Raw genomic sequence first — 23,885 nt, 5'->3', positions numbered from 1 at the left:
GCCTAATTTTTCCTGGTCATGAGAAAAGAACCCAGATTTAGTTGAACTAAGGAGCAAAAATCCTGCATCATCCCCAATCCAGTAGAATGTTGGTCTGTAAAAGCAGATTTTTTTTGTGGGTGTATGTACATCTCTGAATTACTTCATCTATAACAATTACTGGAATATTGACCAAGCCAGTATTGGATAATAGTGACCTGACATCTATCTATCTATCTATCTATCTATCTATCTATCTATCTATCTATCTATCTATCTATCTACCTACCTACCTACCTAGATAGATAGATAGATAGATAGATGTCAGGAAAAGAGGCTCAGAGAGTTTATATAACTGCCCCAAGAACACAAGTAAGAGGTGCAGAACTAAGATGTAAGCTAAGTTATTTCAGACCCATGTAGAACCATGTTTATAACCATAGAGATACAGAGAATAAATGTATTGGCCCAATTCACAGAAAGCTGAGAGTGTAGAAAATATACTAAATAAAAGAGGCTCAAATGATATTGGGCTATATTTCCACCTCTTACTTTTCTATTGGCCAGAAGCAGACTAGCTGCCTCCAATGTCCCCACTTTTCTGGATGCTCCAATAGTCCTTGACATGCTTTGTGTTTACAGCAGGTACAGGTCAAAGACATGTTATGAGCCCTGAGCATACTGAATGGCCACCATTTCTAATCTGGAGGTAACAAAGCTCCCCCAGTTCCATTTTATATAGGTAAATAATTTTTCAGAACTCTCTCCGCATTTCACAGAGGGCATTATTTCGTATGTGGTCATTTTTATTTTATAATAATAAAGCAATAAAGTATATATTGTATCTCCTTTGTTAGATTTTTATAAAGGCATATATACAACAAGACTGCCGTCTCGGAGACTTCAGAATAACAAGTTATTTGATGCAATTTATTTGTTTGGTTGGTTCACTGGTTAGTTAGGGTTTTGAAACCCAGGGCTCTGAATATATGAAAAAGAAAATAGAATGTTCATCACTCTCCAGCTGTGATTTTGACTTTCTGATGGTAAGAGAAAGACAAAGAGGCAAGGAGAAGAAACAAGATGAGACACACAAAAGAAGAACAAAGATGAAGAAGCTGCAGGGGGTCCAGGAGTATACTCTCCAGCAGACCACATCTGATGGCAATTAGAAGAAGAATTAAAATTACCAAAAAGAATGAAACATACAACCTTTATTCTCTTCAATCTCAGAAAACACAGTTGTAACCTGTTTCTGTACAAACACAGCTGTAGTTTGGAGATTACTAATCACTAAGTTTACACTTTAGAGATTTGCCTTAGTCACTTTTGATTTCCTGGTTTCATGTGTTTAAAATAGTAACGGCAAAAGGATTGCCAAAATAGCGAGGGAGAAATTGTTACTGCAGTGATGGATTCAAGACAGATACAGTCAAAACAATACTCCAAACAATTCCAAACAATTTAAAAAAATTTGATAGACTTGATGGGCATTTTAAAGAGTCATATATTTGCCTTCAAATAAAGTATTGTTATTTAACATATTTTTTAAAATTCCTGTATTTTCATATGATTATTCTGTTTCTGTGGTCTCATTATATTTCAGCAGATGGAAGAAGAGAACAAGAAGTATCAGGCAGTAGAAGGTAAATAAATAACATTTTAATAATATTCAAAGTTATTAGTAGAAAACACAAAAAAGACCTGCTATTTATACTGATTGATATTTAGTAAGCAGGCTAGTATTTGTATGCCTATACCCATCTTTTTTTTTTTACTTAATGAAAAGAAAGAAAAACTTAAATTATTTATTTAGAAAACTTGCACATTCAGTAGGGAGAGGTAGAACACAGGGCTGCCCATATGTTAGAAGTCATTCAAACAAAGCTCCATGAGAATCAGATTAAGAGTATTGAGGAAGGGCAAAAAATACTACAAAACACAAAGGTCTCTCTGTTCAGTGGTCTCTCACGCTCTTTAGCTCACCAGGGGATAGTAAATGCATTGCTTAAAGAGGTTCTATGTTCCCAGATGTTGAAGCTGGATTAATTGTGAATGCTCCCCCTGCTCCCCCTGTCCCCCACCCATCACTTCCCCACTTTGGGTCATTCTTTACTGGCCTCTCATAACACCCTCTCAATGTGATTTTTGCTGGACAATCAGTCTCATGTTTCTGGAAATGGGAAATGGATAACATGAACACACAGTCATGGCCCTCCAGACTCTGGATGATTTACGCTCTGATCCTTACCCTCGCAGGCAAGGTACTCTGTTGGCATTCACTAGCTCTGCAGTAGTGGGGCTGACTGTCAGCATTCCCACCATAAACTTCGGTTTTTAGAGGTTTATAAATTGGCTATAAAATGCTGCCTGGAGGGGGGTGGATCTTACAAAATTGTTTTAAGTTACAAGAGAGTAAAAAAAAACACACACACACAAAATAAAATAAAATGTCTGTAATTTCAGACACTATCTTGTGCTTCTGGAACTTTGAAAAGCCTGTAATTTTGCTGTCTGTGCGCCCCACTGGCATTCAAATCAATGCTTTGAAATTCAGCGTTTTAAATATAAAATGAAGATACTCCTTTTACTTTGAAGAGATGGTTATCAAAGAAGATTAATGTATAGTCGCAAGTAAAATAATAATTGAGGCGGGGGGGTTCTTTCCAGTCAAAGGAATTTTGGAATCCCTTGTACATGAATTAAGGACCACATATGATGGTTAGAAGTCACCAATAGTAACATTCAAAATGAAGTCCACTGAAAAAATTATTCAGGTTTTCTGAATTGAAACAGTCATACATTCAAGAGATATGTACAACAATTTACTAGACACAATTATTGGCTAGGTATTCTCCCAATTAAATAAGCACTTTTTTTTTTTTTTTTCCGAGACGGAGTCTTACACTATCGTGCGGGCTGGAGTGCAATGGTGTGATCTCAGCTCACTGCAACCTCTACCTCCCAGGTTCAAGCGATTCTCATGCCTCAGCCTCCCGAGTAGCTCGGATTACAGGCACGTGCCACCACGCCTGGCTAATTTTTTTGTATTTTTAGTAGCGATGAGGTTTCGCTATGTTGGCCAGGCTGGCCTCGAACTCCTGACCTCATGATCTGCCTGCCTTGGCCTCCCAAAGTGCTGGGATTACAGGTGTGAGCCACCGCGCCCAGCCGGCATATTCTTTTAATAATGCCTGTGGAACTGTAAACTCCTAGAGGAAGAAACAATTTGTGAGCTAATACCAGTTGGGTTGGTGCTACCACAGATTTTTCTAATATTCCAGTACTCTATCTCACAATTGGTTTATCATTATCATCAAATGTCTTTCTGCATATTGCTATATTTAAAAAAACCCAAAACCTTAAAGTGATTTCATTTATTTATCATAAGAAATTTGCTCAAGATCAATTATGTGTCAATATTCTAAGTACTGGACAGATATAAAGAAGAAGGCATGGCCTCTACCCTTGAGGAACAGGAAGGGGGATAGTTCCTTATTAGTAATTTTGAGAAAGTAAAACAATGTAAATCAGGCATCAACAGGAATCAACTCCACCTGGAAAAATCACAGACAACTTTAAAGCAATAGTTCTCAAAGGGTGGTTCCCATATCAGCAGTGTCAGTATCACCTGGAAACTTGTTAGAAATGCAAATAATTGCAAGGACAAAAAACCAAACACCGCATGTTCTCACTCATTGGTGGGAATTGAACAATGAGAACACATGGACACAGGAAGGGGAACATCACACTCTGGGGACTGTTGTGGGGTGGGGGGAGGGGGGAGGGATAGCATTAGGAGATATACCTAATGCTAAATGACGAGTTAATGGGTGCAGCATACCAACATGGCACATGTATACATATCTAACAAACCTGCACATTGTGCACATGTACCCTAAAATTCAAAGTATAATAATAATAAAATTTAAAAAAAAAAAAAAGAAATGCAAATAATTGAGTCTCACCCCAAGCCAACTGGATCAGAAACTTTAAGAGTGGGCCCAGCAATCAGAGTTTTAACAGATCATTCAGGTGGTCCTAAGAACAAGTACTAATGACCTAAGGCAAAGCTTTAGAGTGCTTTTAGAGTCATCTAAAGTGCTTGTTAGTACACAGATTACAGACTGCTGAACACCCTCACCACCAGACTGTTAATTCGGTAGATTGGGGGCAGGAAATTTGCATTTCTAACAAGTTTTTAGGAAGCACTGAAGCTGCTGATCTGGGAACCACACTTTGAGAACCACTGTCCCAAGACATCCTCATGTAATACAATAATTTCTCTCACTTGCTATGTGCTATTCTTGGAAGAATCAAGAAAATGGTGACTGAAATCATCTCTGTTTTGTGGTTCAGAGGGAAAATTTCAGATGAGAAAAGCAGAGTGGAAAAGGGACAGGATAATATTTTTAAAAGGAGAAACATTTGTGCAAGAATTAAGTTGTGAATGATCAAATTAGTTAAGGCAAAAGCCATAATTGCTTGAGAAAATGCACAGCCAATGTTATAGGGAAGTAGGAATTTGGGCAGATCTATTTATGGTACAGCTAAAAATATATTCTCACCCCATCAAATTAGGCTAATTATATGGGATTCTGCTCCTCAAAATTTAAAATCTAAGATACATGGAGAACGAAATACTTTTTCTGTGTTGGTTTCCTGGCTTCTTTCAAAAGATAGTCAGACTCACACTTCATTTTTATTTCTTAGGCATAAGAAATCAGTGGCTTGACTTGAACCTATGTTTGCCTTTTCAGTCCACATGGCACTTTCTGAAATACAGATACCTAAATTTCAGAATTGGAATGTGACTGCTAATTCATATTTGAAGCTCAAAGTTGTAAAAGACCAATGAATTTAGCTATTCTGAAACTTCACAGAACGGTAATTATGAAATCCACTAGCCACATATCTAGTCATCCATCCAACAAAGAAAAAGAAAACTTGACCCAAGGAAATGTACAATCCATTTGGTGAAGACAGAAATTAAACAATGAATTCATTGTAATCGTGATATATTTTATTTGAAAGAAAAAACAAAACTTTTATAGGAGCTATAACAAGAGCACCTAACTTTGTCCAAAGCCAAAGATTGGAGGTCAGCGAAAAATTCTTTGAAGAAAAGATGTTTAAGCCATTGCCTGAGAGATGAGCAGGCAGAAGTCAGGAGAAGAGCCATGGAAAGTATAACCAGGCAAGAAGGGCAGCTTGTGCCTGAACATGAGACAGAGTCAAAGCCAGGAAGGCGAGCAATATCAAGAATGATGCTGGAGAGGTTGGCAAGTGAAATGTTGAAGGATTGTAAGCAGGACCCTGACATGATGAGATTTGAATATTGAAGGGCTCACTGTGGCTTCTATATGCAAAATGCAACAGAGGAGAGAGAGAGGCTGCATTCAGAATAGAGCTAAAATGTAAAATTCCCACCCTCCCTCAGTTCCTAAAGAAAAATAACTTTGTAAGTTTTATTCTTTCATGATCTCATATACCAGCATTATAGTTCTGCCTTTTAGAATATATATTACTTGACTCTGTACTTAAGAAAAATATGCCTCATTTTAAGCAAACTCTCATTGTATAGAAAAGATAAATGGGAGAGAAATGAATAGTTCAATCTTTGTGTTATGAACTGAATTGTGTACCCGACAAAACTCATATGTTGAAGTCCTAACCCCCAATACCTCAGAATGTGACTGTATTTGTAATTACCCCTTTAAAGGGGTAATTAAGTTAAAATGAGGCCATTAGGGTGGGCCCTATTGCAATATGACTTGGTGCTCTTAAGAGATTAAGACACAGGCATGCACAGAAGGAAGACCATGTGAGGACAGAAGGGGAACACAGCCATTTACAAGCCAAGAAGAAAGGTGTCACAAGAAGCCAGCTATAAAGACATCTTGACCTCTGACTTCTAGCCTCCAAAATTGTGAGAAAATAAATTCATGTTGTATGAGCCACTGTTCCGTGACATTTTGTTATGACAGACCTAGGAAACTAATATACTTTGTACGAACACATCCTTTGTTTAAAGAAAAAAATATCACTGTAGGTCTTCTTGGAAATATGTGCTCTTAATGAATTTGAAATGCATTTATTTCCCAGCAAGAGTCCAAATGAAGGAGAAACTAATTTATTGGAGAGTTTTTGGAGGGCAAGGGATGGGGGAAGAACCAAAGGAATGTGTATGGTATGTAAAGTAAAACATGACAGTTGGTTCAGTGAACTCCCACATCGCTCAGGCCTCCAATAGCTAGTTGCACACTATATAAGAATGACTGCATTGGCTAAATTCAGAGATCCAAGTAGTGTCATAAGCTCTGCCTTGGCCATGAAAATCAACAGTTGTCAATGTCCTGAAAGCCTGAATACCTCATGCACACATTCAAGTCAGGGAGATTTTCTTCATTCTGTTTATTTCTATTCAAATCATCAAGCATGTACCTTGCATTTGTCTCCTGGTTTACTATGTATACATTATGGAGAATAAGAAGAATTTTCACACATGGTCCACAACCACAACTCCAAGGAAATAAAGTTAGAGATTAGTTAACATATACATGACGATTTGTTATCTTCTAAAGTGAGTTAACGGAAGTTAGTTTGGAATGGTTTTTCTTTTTTTTTTTTTTTTGAGATGGAGTCTCGCTGTGTTGCCCAGGCTGGAGTATAGTGGCGCGATCTCGGCTTGCCACAACCTCTGCCTCCCAGGTTCAAGTGATTCTCCTGCCTCAGCCTCCCGAGTAGCTGGGACTACAGCCATGTGCCACCACGCAACGGCTAATTTTTGTATTTTCAGTAGAGATGGGTTTTCACTATGTTGGCCAGGCTGGTCTCGAACTCCTGACCTTGTGATCTGCCCTTCTCAGCCTCCCAAAGTGCTGAGATTACAGGCGTCAGCCACCCTGCCTGGCCCTAGATGAACAAACTTGTCTGCAATGGGCTGACTTCCACATAACACTTAACATCCATCCATTCATCCATGATAAATCAGCTGGAGACACACATAAATGTACCAAGCCATAGAGACAAGACTTATTTTTCTTCATTGTCATTGAGCAGTTTCTTTTACTCTGTGGTCTCTTTAGCTTTGTTTTTCATGAAAGCACAGCAGGTACAACTATTTAAACTCCATTCCTGGCTGAAATCCTCTTTTGTAAACATTCCTTCAAAGTTAAAATGAAAATTACTCTTCCTTTTCTTACAATGAAAGGAATATTTTTTTTTCCCCTGTTCTGCCTAAAATATCAAAAACATAGCCAGGGCCTCTTAAATGCAAATGGCTTCTTGACCTCCCTTGTATTTCTGAGTTTGCTGGGTCTTCTCAGTAATTCCTGTTTCTCTAAATGTTTCCTTTCTTTTATTTTCTCTTTACTGAGAAATGCTAGCACCCTTTTTTGGAAATCAATGCAAAAACACTTAGATGCTTTGTTCACCACATGGGCTCTTTTGCTTTGGGGTACTGGGCATTTATTGTCTCTGTCAGGTATTGGCAGCATCTGATTTTGTTGATCCACAGGCACAGAGAGGACTGGGAACTGAGTATGTATGTTATTATGACTCAAGACACATAAACACATTCTACGTACATTTGAACAAGCACAGTTTATTTATAATTACATTGAAATTATTTAGCTCCAAGCAAAGACACAGAGGGATGACAGATTTGATAAGCTACTTTTAATTTTTTTTTTTTTTTTGCATATTCTATTGCTTTGGGCTCTAGTACTAAAAAAGGAATGGAATTTAAAAGGAACAATGAGGAAAGAACGATTACATACAAAGAAAGAATTTTACCTGGCAAAGCCAACACCTCTGCTGACTCCATTAGCGTCTCTTAGTATTCTTGTGGAAATGACATGTCCAAAGGGTTTCAGCATATTCTCAAGCTCCTGCTCATCCATAGAAATGGGGAGATTTGAGATGTATAGGTTTGTTGGGTCTTGCTCTTGTTGCTAAGGGAAGGAAAGTAACAAATATGGTAAGTTCTGAGTATTGAGAAACATTGTACAAATAGAGAAACTTTTGTTTAAACTGCAATCTAGATAATAATCTCCAAAATGCTCTTGAAAGTGCTTTCACTAGGGGCATTACTTCTTTTTACTGATGTCTTGTGCAGAATGTTTATCATAGACAAAATGATCAATGAAAGCCAAGCTCTCCATCCATCATTCCTTAGAAAGACTAATAAACTTTTCTTTTTTTTTTTTTTTTTTCTTGAGACGGAGTCTCGCTCTGTAGCCCAGGCTGGAGTGCAGTGGCGCGATCTCGACTCACTGCAAGCTCTGCTTCCCGGGTTCACGCCATTCTCCTGCTTCAGCCTCCCGAGTAGCTGGGACTACAGGCGCCCGCCACCACGCCCAGCTAATTTTTTGTATTTTTAGTAGAGACGGGGTTTCACCGTGTTAGCCAGGATGGTCTCCATCTCCTCCTGACTTAGTGATCCGCCCACCTCGGCCTCCCAAAGTGCTGGGATTACAGGTGTGAGCCATCACGTCCGGCCGACCAATAAACTTTTAATGCAATTGAACTAAGGCAAATGTGTATATTCTTTTTTATTACCATTAACCACTACTTCTATGACTACCACTCTTACTACCATCACAATTAGTTACTGATATTGCATTTAATGAGAGTTCATAATATGCTAAGCATTGTTCCAAACACTTAACATGCATTATTTCATTCAATATTCTTAATAGATATAATTACCATTTTATGGATGACAAAATTGATCCCTAACTTATCCAAGTTACACAGCTCATAAGTGCCAAAGTCAGGGCTGAAATCTGGGCCTATCACCAAAGTCCATGGGATTTATTGCTCTGGTCTACTGCCTTCCACTAGACCAACGAGTCTCAAAGTATAGTCCCAGAAATGCAACATTAGCCTTAGCCTCACCTGGGAACTTATTGGAAACACAATTTCTCAGGCCTCACCACAGAACTACTGAAGCAGAATCTGAGAGTGGGCCAAGAAATCTGTGTTTTGACAAGCCCTCCAGGTGATCCTGATGACAGCTTAAGTTTGAGAATTGCCATCCTAGACCAAGCCTAAATATTTATATACAAATAAGATTATGATGTCTATCATCTCCTAATTCAGCACCAATAATGCTTAAATAAGTTTTGCTTAATAGAATGGGAAACCAAACCACAATTACTAGCATTATTTCTGTGTGTATCAATTTTCTCTATTTTATATAATGAATTAATAATTTAGAACTTAGTTGTATTTATGTCTCAAATAAAACAGTCAAAAACTTGACAGATTAGTCATTAATATCAAAATGTACCAGATATTTAATTGAACTATTATATTTTAACTAAACAAAAACCTTAGCTTCAAGGATAAGCCAGACATTAAATTAGAAAAAGAAATCCTGAAGTCTATAGAAAATGGTATTATGTAACAGTAAAATATCTTTTGTGAAAAGATATCATATTATTAGATATTTACGGTTTTAAAAACAATAAACAAGTAGAATAAACAAGAATCCAAATGTTGTTTCAGGTCAAGAAATAATTTTTGTATGCAACTAAATTTCTGTATTTTTAACAACTAAATATTCAGATAGATTGTGATATTTTTATTAAAACTTGGAGTGAATATGATGTATTATTAGTTTCATTTTAAACACAGTTTACTTTTCAAGCTTTTTAGCACCGTGGGAAATAGCAAAAATAAAATATAATCAATCTGGAAAAGATGACTAGAGCCTTAATATTTAGGAATAGTTTACATATAGAAACTGAATGAGTGAAGTTAATCTCCCTCTCTTTCTCTGTCACAGACATACATATAAACACACACACACACACACACACACACACACACACACACTCCACTATCACCACCACCATCATCAATATCACCACCAGTAACTGTTAATGGTCCTAGAGAAAAAACAGAGATAATATTATTATTCTTTAAATGGTTTTGATCTTGTTTTTGTTTTTGTTTTTGTGAAGTGGTAAATAAAAAAAAAGGGGACATTTCAGTTACATAATAATGAACCTTATCTACGTATAACTTCCAAGGTTCATAGTATTTCACCATTCATCATTTAATTTTAATCTTCACATTGTCGCTCCAAAAGTAGTTTGGCAAATATTACTACACTTACTGGATAATGAGGAAATGGAGACATGAAAGATTCAATCTTGCCCAAGGACAATCTAATAATTAGTGACAGGGCTAAAATTAGATTTAGTGACTAATTTTCCTATCTTCCAGCTCAGTGTATTTTCCACAAGTCCAATGTTTCTCAAGCTTCAATTATTTGAAACACCAAATGTTAGAAATTTTTGACAGTCATAGGTTGTTACTTATTTTAAAATTTTTCTAAATAAACATACCTCTGGGGCTTAAATAAATCTATTTTAAAAAATAACTTTGTAGGCCGGGCGCAGTGGCTCATGCCTGTAATCCCAGCACTTTGGGAGGCCGAGGCGGGTGGATCACGAGGTCAGGAGGTCGAGACCACCCTGGCTAACATGGTGAAACCCCATCTCTACTAAAAATACAAAAAGTTAGACAGCCTGGTGGCGGGCGCCTGTAGTCCCAGCTACTCGGGAGGCTGAGGCAGGAGAATGGCGTGAACCCGGGAGGCGGAGCTTGCAGTGAGCTGAGATCATGCCACTGCACTCCAGCCTGGGCGACAGCGAGAGTCCGTCTCAAAAAAAAAACACTTTGTGTTGTTACCATAACTAAAAGGCCAGTATTACTTGCCATAAATAGAAGGTTACTGTAAAAACAGTGAACAAACTCATGTTTTCAAATTATAGCTAGATACTGTTTGCAGAAGGCTTTGGTGCTCCCGCTTCACTCTCTGTTGCAAAGGGAATTCATAATTAATGGAAGTGTTAGAAGCACACTAGCACCAGACTGAGTCTTTTTACTGGGAAGAATCAGAATTAAAGAAGAATTGAGAAATGAACAACTTTCTTATGATGTGATTTCTGAGTCCCACATGTCTAGAACTACTCAAGTTATACAAGAAATACGTGCCCCAGAGCTTTGGAGTTCCTCATCAACCCAGAGCCTACCAATGAGTGGGCCACAGCACATGACAGTCCTATGAATGGGTTGGAATTTGCTCAATATTCAATACCCCTTTGCCCTTGATCAGGTTAATAATTACAGTCTACGCCATTGTCTCAGGGTACTGTACAGACCTTAGAATTTTCTCCAGGCATCAGTGCACCAGTTTATCCAAATTCAAAATCATTTCCAAATTCCCTGAGTATTGAATGCATTGCAGCTGCTCAAAATGGTGTACCATAAATACGCAGAGCTTAGTACATAAGGGATTGCCTGGTAAGCTATTTTCTGAATCCAAATTCAAACAACAAGGCCAACTCTTTAATTTGTATTCACAGAGACAGTAGCACATTGGATAGTGTCGTTCTTTAATTTGTATTCACAGAAAGAATATGACATTGGGGAGTGTTATTTAAGTAATTCTGTTCTTTGAAATGAATGCAGTATTAGTCTTGAATATATTGGTTGAAAATAGAATTTAAATTATGCATAAAATAAACTTTAAAATAGTACATACATTTATATTTTTACTTTCAATTTTATTTATATATCAGGTTTATGTAAATGGATGGTCATTTTCAAAAGGTTCATTGGCACTATGAAACAAAGAACTCTTTCCTTTTAATTTTCCGGAAAAGTTTTTCACAAGATAACTGCAATCAAAAAGATCTTTTTATAATTTTTTAACTTAAATTTTTATGGCCAAATCTCCTGAATGGACCTAAGGTGGCATCTTATCCAATCTTGTTATCTAACAGATGGAAAAAAGCAGAAGCTAGTGGTGAGATTATGACTTGCCCAAGGCCACTCAGCTAGAGGAACAGGCTAGAAATAGATGATAATCTGATGTTATTGCCAATTTACAACACTGACTTTATTCTTAAAATCCAATGATTAATAAATAGGTTGTGGTTCAAAAGAATATTATAGAGACAAAAATAAATATATCTGAGTTCCTTGTTTTATTCACTTTTGCCTATTCGTCAATAAGCTTGAGTCAAAGAGTGAAGGCTATGAAAAAAGAGTTCCTAGCCTTAGCTAGTATTCTACACACAGTCATTGAATGAATATTTTGCAGTGTATATTAGATTGTAAAAGTATATGACTACAATTCATACATCTATTACATATAACTGTCCATGTCACTATAAGTAACTCCCCCATTTTGGTCTGTTTCTACATTTTTTCATTTGTACAAGGATTTCTTGGTTTATTATTTAGTTTTGTCAAAAGCTCATTAAAAGTTAGAAAAGTATCCTCTCCATTGTTAATGGGAGCCCAGATCTGTCATCTTACGCAAAAATATGTAAATAATTTACTTTCTCTGAAATGACTTCCTTTTTCTCAGGTTTTTAGTGTATGTATGCTGTCAAAATCAGATTTATTGTCATTCATTTGCTTTTGAGCAGTTTAAGACAATTTCAGAACTTCAGAACCTTTCAAGGTGGCTAAGCAAATGAATACTTGTAGAGGACAAGAAAACACTGCCCTATCTAGATCAAAGGTTACGTCTGGGTTTTTGAATATGCATTATGGCTATTATAGAAACATAATTCTGAAAAAGGCTATTAGTAGAACACAATTTTAAAACTTAACAACAATCTGCTAACATTCACATTTGATGGAATGACATTTAAATGCTCTGGAAGTAGCTACAGTACTAGCATGAAGTTGAGATTTTAGAGTAATTTCTTAAGCTACCTGGAGTGTGAACTGTTTTTATTTCCAATATGCCATGGATCAATATATTTGTAGAATATAAGAAAAATAAATTAATAGAAAATAAAATAAAAGGATATGCAAAATGCAAGTCCAACTTTTCATCATTACACTCAACGGACACCAAATTACATATTGCATTTGATATTATGTTAATGTTAATTGTTATAAAAGATTTTAAATGCGTTCTCTCAATTTCTGTACATATTTCATTGTGGATAGGTATCAAGTAACAAACTTTGAGTAGAACTGCTTTATGGGAATATATTCCTACTATTTCTTTTCATAATGGAACACCCTATGGGTCTCAGTGAGTGATTAGTTCTTGCTTACTTTATATACTATCGAACCCTTTTTAAAAAACATTTTTAATTGGCCAGTAATAATTGTACAAATGTATGTGGTGCAAAGTGATATTTTGATATATGAATACAAGTGTAATGATTGAATCAGGGTCATTAGCATATTCATAACCTCAAACATTTATTATTTCTTTGTGTTGGGAACATTCAAGCTCCTTTCTTCTAGGTATTTAAAAATATGCAATAAATTATTGTTAATTATAGTCATCCTACAGTGCCATAAAACTCTAGAACTTATTTATCCTCACTAGCTGTAATTTTGTACCTGGTTATCAAAAGAGCCCCATATCCCCACTTCCTGCTACTCTTCCTAGCCTCTAGTAACCATAGTTCTACTCTCTGCTTCTATGAGTTCAAGTTTTTTAGCTCCTGCATATGAGTGAGAACATGTGGTATTTATCTTCCTGTGTGCCTGACTTGTTTCACTTAACATAATATCCTCCAGGCTCATCTATGTTGTCATGCATGACAGAATTTTATTCTCTTTTATGACTAAATAGTATTCCACTGTGTGTGTGTGTGTGGGTGTGTGTGTACACATACTAAATTTTTAAATGGTGCTATAAAAACTGGATATCCACATACAGAATAATGAAACTAGACCCCTATAATTCACCATATACAAAAATCAACTCAAAATCTCAAAACGGCTTAAAGACTTAAATGTAAGACCCCCAAACTGTAAACTACTAGAAGACTACATAAGGGAAAGGGTTTAGGATATTGGTCTGGACAAAGATTTTTTGTGGATAAGACTTCAAAAGCACAGGCAACAAAAGCAAAAACGGGCTAATGGGACTGTATCCAACTAAAAGGAAACAATCAACCGAGTAAGGAGACAACCTGCAGAATGGGCAAAAATATTTGCATACTATTCATCTGCCAACTATTCATAATGGCCAACAGATATATGAGAAATATACTCAACATCACTAATCATCAGGGAAATGCAAATCAAAACCACAATGATATATCATCTCACCCCTATTAGAATGCCTATTATCAGAAAAAATAAAAAATAACCAATGCTGGTGAGGACGTTGAAAAAAGGGAACTCGTATACACTTTTAGTCAGAATGTAAATTAGTATAGCCATTATGGAAAACAGTATGAGGGTCCTCAGAAAACTAAAAATACTAACATGTGACCCAGCAATCCCATTACTAAGTATCCAAAAAAAAAAGGAAATAACTATATGAAAAAGATACGTGCACCTCCATGATTATTCCAAGAGCTTTTAAGTCACAAAATTGTGTATAACGAATTTATAGAAATTTTTTAACTACTGGGTGAAAAAATGCTATCTCAAGATGAATTATCTTGAGCAGTGGTGACAAAACATTTAGAAATACCCTGAAGAGGTATGAAACAACTCTAAAGCAAGCATGCAACTATAGATATTTTTTAAAAACATTGAGAAAGATGTATATATAGACTAAAGATAATAATATTACCTTACATGGAGCAGAGTTTTTAATATTTTAAATGTTTCAGAGTCATTTTATATCATGTGGCCCTTTATCTATCTCATAAGGTAGATAGGGAAAGAGTTATTATTCCAAAAAATACAAATGAGAAAACTGGGTCCTATATTTTAAGTTAGTAAGTGAATAAGCAATATCATAAGGGATATTGTTTGACTTGATGTAGTACTTTTTACTACACTACACCAATTCTAGAGATTGCCTATAAATATCGTTATTCAGTGACTCTCACCTGTAGAAAAGAAAATTAATGTGGATGCAAGGGAGCAAGATTTTTTTAATGGAACAGTCTATTTTATATGCTGCAGCAATTTAAAAATTAATAATAATAAAAACTAAATGTTTTTTCTCACTTTGAAAACAGGGAATCAGAGCATTCCATGTTAACAAACTGCCCTAAAGGCATCAGATATTTTGGAATTAGTTTAACACTAATTCGAACAAAGATGTCCTCACTTTTCTGGTGATAGTTACTGCACCTCTAGATGAGAACTGATGGAAGCCTGCTGTTTCAGCCATACTTGCTTCAGTATTATATATTTGTGTGATAGTTAATTTTATGTGTCAACTTGACTGAGACACAGTGTGCCCAGATTGGTCAAACCATTTTCTGGGTGTTTCTATGGGGCTATTTTTGAATGAGTTTAACGTTTAAATTGATACACTGTGTGAAACAGATTGCTCTCCTCAATGTGGGTGGCCCTCACCCAATCAGATGAAGACTTGAATAAAACAAAAAGGCTGATCCTCCCCAGAGTTAAGAAAGACTTCCTCCCGTCTGACTGCCTTTGAGCTGGAATTACATTTTCCTGTCTTCAGACCGTGACTGAAATATCAGCCCTTCTTGAGTCTTGAACCTGACAGCCTGTAGACTGGAACAACCATGTGGGCTCTCCTAGGACTCCAGCTGCCAACAGAAGATCTTAGGACTTGTTGCCTCCATAATCTCATGAGTCAAGTTCATACAATAAAGAGGGGAGGGGTAAGATAGAGTGATGTGGAGGAGAGAGGAAGGAAGGCAGAGAGGGAGGAGGAGAGGGACAGATGGAGGGAGAGAGGGAGAGAAAAAGAGAGGGAGTGAGAGATTAAGGTAAAGGGACGGAGGTACAGAGGGGGAGATGGGGAGAGAGGGAAATGGGAGACAGAGGGAAAGATGGAGGGATAGAGGAAGAGAGGGAGATGGACAGAAGGACAGAGAGAGACTTGCAGTGGGGAGAGAGGGAGACAGAGTGACAGAGTGCACGAGAGGGAGTGAGGTAGAGACATCCTATTGGTTCTGTTTCTCTGAAGAACCCTGACTAATACAATGTGTTAGTTTTGTCAAATCTATATTGCTATGAAGAAATGAGGACATACGATCAGCTCTGAACTTCCCACTAGGACTTCTGCATTCCCTGGACACAAAGCCAGTGCCTCTGACTAGGCAAAGTAAGATGCCTTACCTCAAGACAGGCGCTCCAGAAGCAAACATCCAAGGTAAGGCATTAAAGACCAAAGGGAAGAGTAAAGAAGGACTGCAAAGAAGTAGGCTTTCACCCTTAAATGGTACCTAAAAACATGCCCTCTGTCCTGTTTGCTAAGCAGTGAAGGTGCCTCTATATTTTCAATTGTCTTCTGTCTCTACTAAAAGAGAAAAGGTGATTTCTCTTTTGTTAGTTCTGCATGGTGATTCAGTTAGAGGAAGGTGACTGCCAATTTTTTCCTTCCAAAACAAAAATAAGAACAATTTCCCTAAGATAAGAAACACTAAGAACAATGTCCCCAAGAAATACTTTTTTAAAAAGAAGCATTTACTTATTTCGGATATAATGTAAGCACAGTGTCAGCAACTGGAGTTCATGTCCTCAAGTTCAATTGGAAGGTTTAATTCTGGAGAACAAACTCAGCAGGGACCTGATTGTGAAACAATGCCCAGTGTTGAACCACTGATCATTTAGGCTATTCTTTAAGGCTTGGGCTGGCTTTTATTTCAAGATCAATTGAGGAGCCTTCAATTGAGTTAGGCAGTGAATGATTCCATGAGGATCTCCAGCCTTTATGACTAAATTTAAGTTACCTTTGGTCCTGGAACAGGTGGCCAGATTGGATCTCTGGCTTTCCTTGATTTCTCCCTCCATATACACCTCATGAACTTGAGCTCAGTATCACCAGTTATCAGCCCTGATGTGATGGTTTCTCCTGTGAGAAAATGCTAAATTAACATTTTACAATATTGAGATCTCTCTATAGTTTTATTTTAATATATTACCATATCACAAATATATATTGTTTTGTACTCGTGGTCCTGATGGTCAAAAATGAGAACAGGAAACAAAACTATAGAGAACTACTCAATATTGTAAACAAATCTCAGAGTTTAATTCACTGCTCAGAAAGAGGTTCCCCAGGAATGTCTATTTTATCCACCTGCTATGAACTCTGAGATAGAAAGCTGTAACTGATTTATCGATAAAGACTATGATGCCCCAAACAACTATGGAACTGTGGAAATGACATGAAGACAGCCATAGGTTTACTATGATACACTACTAATTACTTCTGAAATAATCACCATAACACATACAAATATAGAACAGATGCAAAACATTTTTATATCTTCTGCCTAGAATATGACAGCTTAGGCTTGCTGAGGCTCACCTAGATTCACCTTTGGTAAACATACAAAAACATACCATTGAAATGTAAAAGATATTAGGGGCATTGAGTTCCACTCAAAGACAACCATTCTCATTGTAGTCTACTGACATCCCCGCCCCCCGCCCAGAACACAGCACAAATGATGACTCCTGGAATTATGCAACAGAGCTCACTTGACAAACACTGTGTCATATATATTAAGGCTGCCCAATAAAATATAAGACATCTTGTTAAATTTAAATTTTTGATAAACAACAAATACTATTTTTAGTATATCATGAATAATACATAAGACATACTTGTACTAAAATTATCCATTGCCATATAAGATTAACATTAATATCATTTTATATAAACTATTTGTTGTTAGGTAAGATATATATCATTACCTTTACCTTTTTATGGTATGATATTATCTAGTATTTATACTGCCTACTATATGAAAAAATACTATGCTTTAAAATCATTTAAATTCATTATGTTTATATTCCTTAGCCCTTGAGGTAGATAGCCCCATTTTACATGTGAGAAAGCTGAGGTTATAATTCTTATTGTTCTTTTTGTTGTTCTTCTTATTGTTCTATAATTCAATTGTTCTTTTTGCTTAGGATTGTCTTGGCTATGAGGGCTCTTTTTTGGTTCCATATGAACTTTGAAGTAGTTTTTCCCAATTAAAAAATTCTCATCATTATTAGTCATCAGAGAAATACAAATCAAAACCACAATGAGATACCATCTCATGCCAGTTAGAATGGTGATCATTAAAAAGTCAGGAAACAACAGATGCTGGGGAGGATGTGGAGAAATAGGAACGCTTTTACACCGTTGGTGGGAGTGTAAATTAGTTCAACCATTGTAGAAGACAGTGTGGCGATTCCTCAAGCATCTAGAACTAGAAATAGCATTTGATCCAGCAATCCTATTACTGGGTATATACCCAAAAGATTATAAATCATGCTACTATAAAGACACATGCACGCGTATGTTTATTGCGGCACTATTCACAATAGCAAAGACTTGGAATCAACCCAAATGTCCATCAATGATAGACAGGATTAAGAAAATGTGGCACATATACACCATGGAATACTATGCAGACATAAAAAGGATGAGTTCATGTCCTTTTCAGGGACATGGATGAAGCTGGAAACCATTTTCAGCAAACTAACACAGGAACAGAAAACCAAACACCGCATGTTCTCACTCATAGGTGGGAACTGAACAATGAGATCACTTGGACACAGGGCGGGCAACATCACACACTGGGGCCTGTCAGGGGGTTGGGGGGTGGGGCGGTAGGGGAGGGATAGCATTAGGAGAAATACCTAATGTAAATGACAAGCTGATGGGTGCAGCAAACCAACATGGCACATGTATACGTATGTAACAAACCTGCACGTTGTGCACATGTACCCTAGAACTTAAAGTATAATAAAATATATATATATATTTAACACATAAAGTGAAAAGCCACAACTTTGATACAAAATGTTCTCTTGTGTGCTGTTTTGCTTGAATCTACATTTATTCCTAAATTGTCCAATGTCAATTGTACAGAAAACTGGCCCTGTAAAGCCATATGCATTTTATGTGTTATAGAGGAAGCAGTCAGCTCTACATTGGCACTTAAAAAAAAATTCTGCTATACATTAAAATTCTGTCAGTCTAAGTGAAGGATGGCATATAGTAGATTTATTTCATCCTAGTCTTTCCAAAGAGAGGCTTTCCAAAGAGAACAGGCTGCACAACTTTTGGTAAACTGTGATCCTTAATATTAGCTTGGAGAAAAGTGGTGTGCTGTGTGTGTATATATCATAATGAAAATCAGTTTATTAATGCCATGTTAGCTGGAGAAGGAACCTAACTAGGTGATACTGTCTTGCCTTCATTTCTTATATTAACCTGGTGACTTTGGTAGAGAAACAGCAAAGAAGAGGTGCAACAGTGAGTTGAGGGTGTTCAAATAAGGTTAAACTATTTTTTTATTTTAAAAGAATGTCTTTCATCACGATTGCCGGCATCATTTGGCATATACATTATTTACATTTTTCTTTAGATGTTATTTTAAGTTCTGGGATACATGTGCAGAACGTGCAGGTTTGTTACATAGGTATACATGAGCCATGGTGGCTTGCTGCACCTATCGACCCGTCATCTAGGTTTTAAGCCTCGCATGAGTTAGGTATTTGTCCCAATCCTCTCCCTCCCCTTACCCCCCTGCCCCAACAGGCCCCCAGTGTGTGATGTTCCGCTCCCCGTGTCCATGTTTTCTCATGGTTCAACTCCCATTTATAAGTGAGAACATGCAGTGTTTGGTTTTCTGTTCTTGTGTGAGTTTACTGAGAATGATAGCTTCCAGCTTCATCCATGTCCCCGCAAAGGACATGAACTCATTCTTTTTATGGCTGCATAGTATTCCATGGTGTATATATGCCAGATTTTCTTTATCCAGTCTATCATTGATGGACATTGGGGTTGGTTCCAAGTCTTTACTATCGTAAATAGTGCTGTAATAAACATACATGTGCATGTGTCTTTTTAGTAGCATGATTAATAATCCTTTGGGTATATACCCAGTAATGCGATTGCTGGGTCAAATGGTATTTCTGGTTCTAGATCCTTGAGGAATCGCCACACTGTCTTCCACAATGGTTGAACTAATTTACACTCCCACCAACAGTGTAAAAGCATTCCTATTTTTCCACAGCCATGTCAGCATCTGTTGTTTCCTGACTTTTTAATAACTGCCATTCTAACTGGCATGAGATGGTATCTCATTGCGGTTTCGATTTGCATTTCTCTAATGACCAGTGATGATGACCTTTTTTTAATATTTGTTGGCTGCATAAATGTCTTCTTTTGGGAAGTGTCTGTTCATATCCTTTGCCTACTTTTTGATAGGGTTGTTTTTTTCTTGTAAATTTAAGTTCCTTGTACATTCTGGATATTAGACCTTTGTCAGATAGGTAGATTGCAAAAATTTTCTCCCATTCTGTAGTTTGCATGTTCACTCTGATGATAGTTTCTTTTGCTGTGCAGAAGCTCTTTAGTTTGATTTGATCCAATCTGTCAATTCTGGCCTTTGTTGCAATTGCTTTTAGTGTTTTAGTCATGAAGTCTTTGCCCATGCCTATGTCCTGAATGGTATTGCCTAGGTTTTCTTCTAGGGTTTTTATGACTTGGGGTTTTACATTTAAGTTTTTAATCCATCATGAGTTAATTTTTGTATAAGGTGTAAGAAAGGGGTCCAGATTCTGTTTTCTGCATATGGCTAGCCAGTTTTCCAAGCACCATTTATTAAATAGGGAATCCTTTCCCCATTGCTTATTTTTGTCAGGTTTGTTGAAGATCAGATGGTTGTAGATGTGTGGTGTTATTTCTGAGGCCTCTGTTCTGTTCCACTGGTCTATATATCTGTTTTGGTACCAGTACCATGTTGTTTTGGTTACTGTAGCCTTGTAGTGTAGTTTAAAGTCGGGTATTGTGATGCCTCCAGCTTCATTCATTTTGCTTAGGATTGTCTTGGCTATACAAGCTCTTTTTTGGTTCTATATGAAATTTAAAGTACTTTTTTTCTAATTTTGCAAAGAAAGTCAATCGTAGCTTAACAGGAATAGCATTGAATCTATAAATTACTTTGGGCAGTATGGCCATTTTCACCATTTTCATTATATTGATTCTTCCTACCCATGAGCATGGAATGTTTTTCCATTTGTTTGTGTCTGCTCTTATTTCCCTGAGCACTGGTTTGTAGTTCTCCTTGAAGAGGTCCTTCACATCCCTTGTAAGTTGTATTCCTAGGTATTTTATTCTCCCATGCAATTGTGTATGGGAGTTCCCTCACGATTTGAATCTCTGCTTGTCTTGTTGGTGTATAAGAATGATTGTGATTTTTGCACATTGATTTTGCATCCTGGGACTTTGCTCAAGTTGCTTATCAGCATAAGGAGTTTTTGCGCTGAGACAATGGTGTTTTCTAAATATAAAATCACGTCATCTGCAAACAGAGACAATTTGACTTCCTCTCTTTCCATTTGAATACCCTTTATTTCTTTCTCTTGACTGATTGCCCTGGCCAGAACTTCCAATACTATGCTGAATAGGAGTGGTGAGAGAGGGCATCCTTGTCTTCTGCCAGTTTTCAAAGGGAATGCTTCCAGCTTTTGCCCATTCGGTATGATATTGGCTACGGGTTTGTCATAAATAGCTCTTATTATTTTGAGATATGGTCTAACAGTACCTAGTATATTGAGAGTTTTTAGCATGAAGGGGTGTTGAATTTTATCGAAGGCGTTTTCTGCATCTATTGGGATAATCATGTGGTTTTTGTCATTAGTTCTGTTTATGTGATGGATTATGTTTATTGATTTGCATATGTTGAACCAGCCTTGCATCCCTGGGATGAAGCCAACTTGATTGTGGTGGATAAGCTTTTTCATGTGCTGCCAGATTCGGTTTGCAAGTATTTTATTGAGGATTTTCGCATCCATGTTCATCAGGAGTATTGGCCTGAAATTTTCTTTTTTGTTGTGTCTCTGCCAGGTTTTGTTATCAGGATGATGCTGGCCTCATAGGGTGAGTTAGGGAGGATTCCCTCTTTTTCTATTGTTTGGAATAGTTTCTGAAACAATGGCACCAGCTCTTCTTTGTACATCTGGTAGAATTCGGCTCTGAATCCATCTGGTCCTGGGGTTTTTTTGGTTGGTAGCGTATTAATTACTGTCTCAATTTCAGAACTTGTTATTGGTCTATTCAGGTATTTGACTTCTTCCTGGTTTAGTCTTGGGATGATGTATGTGGCCAGGAATTTATCCATTTCTTCTAGATTTTTCATAGAGGTGTTTATAGTATTTTCTGGTGGTAGTTTGTATTTCTGTGGGATCAGTGGTGATATCCCCTTTATTATTTTTATTGTGTCTATTTTATTCTTCTCTCTTTCTTTTCTTCTTTACTAGTCTAGCTAGCAGTCTCTCTATTTTGTTAATCTTTTCAAAAAACCAGCTCCTGGATTCACTGAATTTTTGAAACATTTTTCATGTCTCTATCTCCTTCAGTTCTGCTGTGATCTTAGTTGTTTCTTGTCTTCTGTTAGCTTTTGAATTTTTATTTGCAATTTTTAAAAAACTCGTAAGTTAGAAAGAAATAAGTCTTACGTTTAATGTGACTCGACAATGAGTTAAATAATTTTACTTAGAGTGCCTAGGCTATCAATGAAAAAGTAATGCATACATCTTAGTTTTTCTTAGTTATATGTTTTCTCCCTACAGGAGTCTTGTGATTCAGTAAGTAGCTCACCTGAACAAATGGAGGTACTCGTGGTCACAACACTAATCCAACTCAAAGTCACTTGTCGATTTCCATCTCTTGACTTGGGCACATTACTAAATGGATCATCCACTTATTTTTTCATATTTGCTCTTGATCATTCACTCACTCATTCAATAGTTTTTTCATCTTCTAGTGTATGTCACCCCTTGAGCTAAATTCTGAGGACAAAGATGTAATAGGACATGATCTCTGCCTGCCTTAGAAAGTTCAGACTAGTGGATGTTACACAACTAAATTTCAATAATAAAGTGCTATTTTTTGTTAGCTGACACATTAGGGCAACGAAGAATTAGATATCTGTCCCCTAACTCTTATAGCCCTTAACTTGAAATTCCATTTTCCTTAAAATGATGATTTGACAATCTAAATTATTTTTAAACGGTGTCTCAGCTACATGATATGCATGAAAATTAAATTTTAAAATGTAAAAGACACTGAGATACATTAAGCCCTAAAACAATGACAAACATCAATTTGGATTGACTGTATAACTATATACTTCCATTTTAATAAAAATGATTTTGTTCTTAAGCTTCCAGAAAACTTTGAGTAGGCATGAGCTGTGAACATGTAATGACATGGTGGCCCTGACACTAACTGTTATTAACACTTCTCAGCAAATTTCCTTGACTGAAAAATGGAGATAATAATACTAATAACCTTAGAGGGTTATTGTAGAAATTCAATGTTATGATATACTAAAAATTTAGCAGAGTTTCAGGAATACAGAAGCTCAGTAAATCATGATCATTTCTACAATTTTTATTACATAAGGAAATTTAGAACACTTTAAGAGGACAGCTACTAAGTAAATATAAGTCATGTTAATTACAGAACAATTATCACTATTTAGAATGTGTCCCATTGTGTTCCTCATAAGTGTAAACTTACTAGATGTTATATTAAATTATATGGAGGTAGGCATATTAAATTGATAATGAGATCCTTAAAATGTGGCCACTGTATTAGCAAGAGAATCAAGAAATATATTACAGGGTGGGAAACATAACACTGTTCCTATCATTTGTGAGCGACAAAGATTAATGATTTATTACTGGGCTCATTAATCAAAACTGTGTGGCTTTTTTTTTTTAAGGAGCAATTCCACTGTTCAAGTCAATTAGCTCACCAAAGCTATTACACCGAAGAAGCTGTAGTGTTATTCAGACTTCCCTGGGAGTATTTACAGTATAAAATAAATGCTATTATTCAGAAGATACCGAATTGCTAAGCTTCTTAAACTCATACAATTGGGAACCTGCAGTACATTAAAATGCTGAAACTCATTAAGAGAGTTTTTTTTCTCATCTTTAGAGTCACTGGCATTCTCAGC

General features: G+C 36.6%; 1 protein-coding gene across 15 annotated transcripts in view; it reads right to left on the bottom strand.

Annotated features, from left to right (window-relative positions):
• RBMS3 (RNA binding motif single stranded interacting protein 3) overlaps positions 1 to 23,885 on the bottom strand; it is a 729,325-nt gene that overhangs the window by 262,742 nt on the left and 442,698 nt on the right. For 14 of the 15 annotated variants that reach the window (XM_005265061.3, XM_017006180.2, XM_017006179.2 and 11 more), the window contains one exon: positions 7,777 to 7,934. In XM_005265061.3, coding sequence (XP_005265118.1) covers positions 7,777 to 7,934 — 158 coding nt within the window. Of the gene's footprint in view, positions 1 to 7,776; positions 7,935 to 16,643; positions 16,765 to 23,885 lie in introns of those variants that run through there. The other variant, XM_005265065.6, reaches the window with a different exon arrangement.

This window comes from Homo sapiens, chromosome 3 (genome assembly GCF_000001405.40).
Source record: "Homo sapiens chromosome 3, GRCh38.p14 Primary Assembly".
NCBI lineage: Eukaryota > Metazoa > Chordata > Mammalia > Primates > Hominidae > Homo > Homo sapiens.
This window is presented reverse-complemented; position numbering and strand designations above follow the sequence as displayed.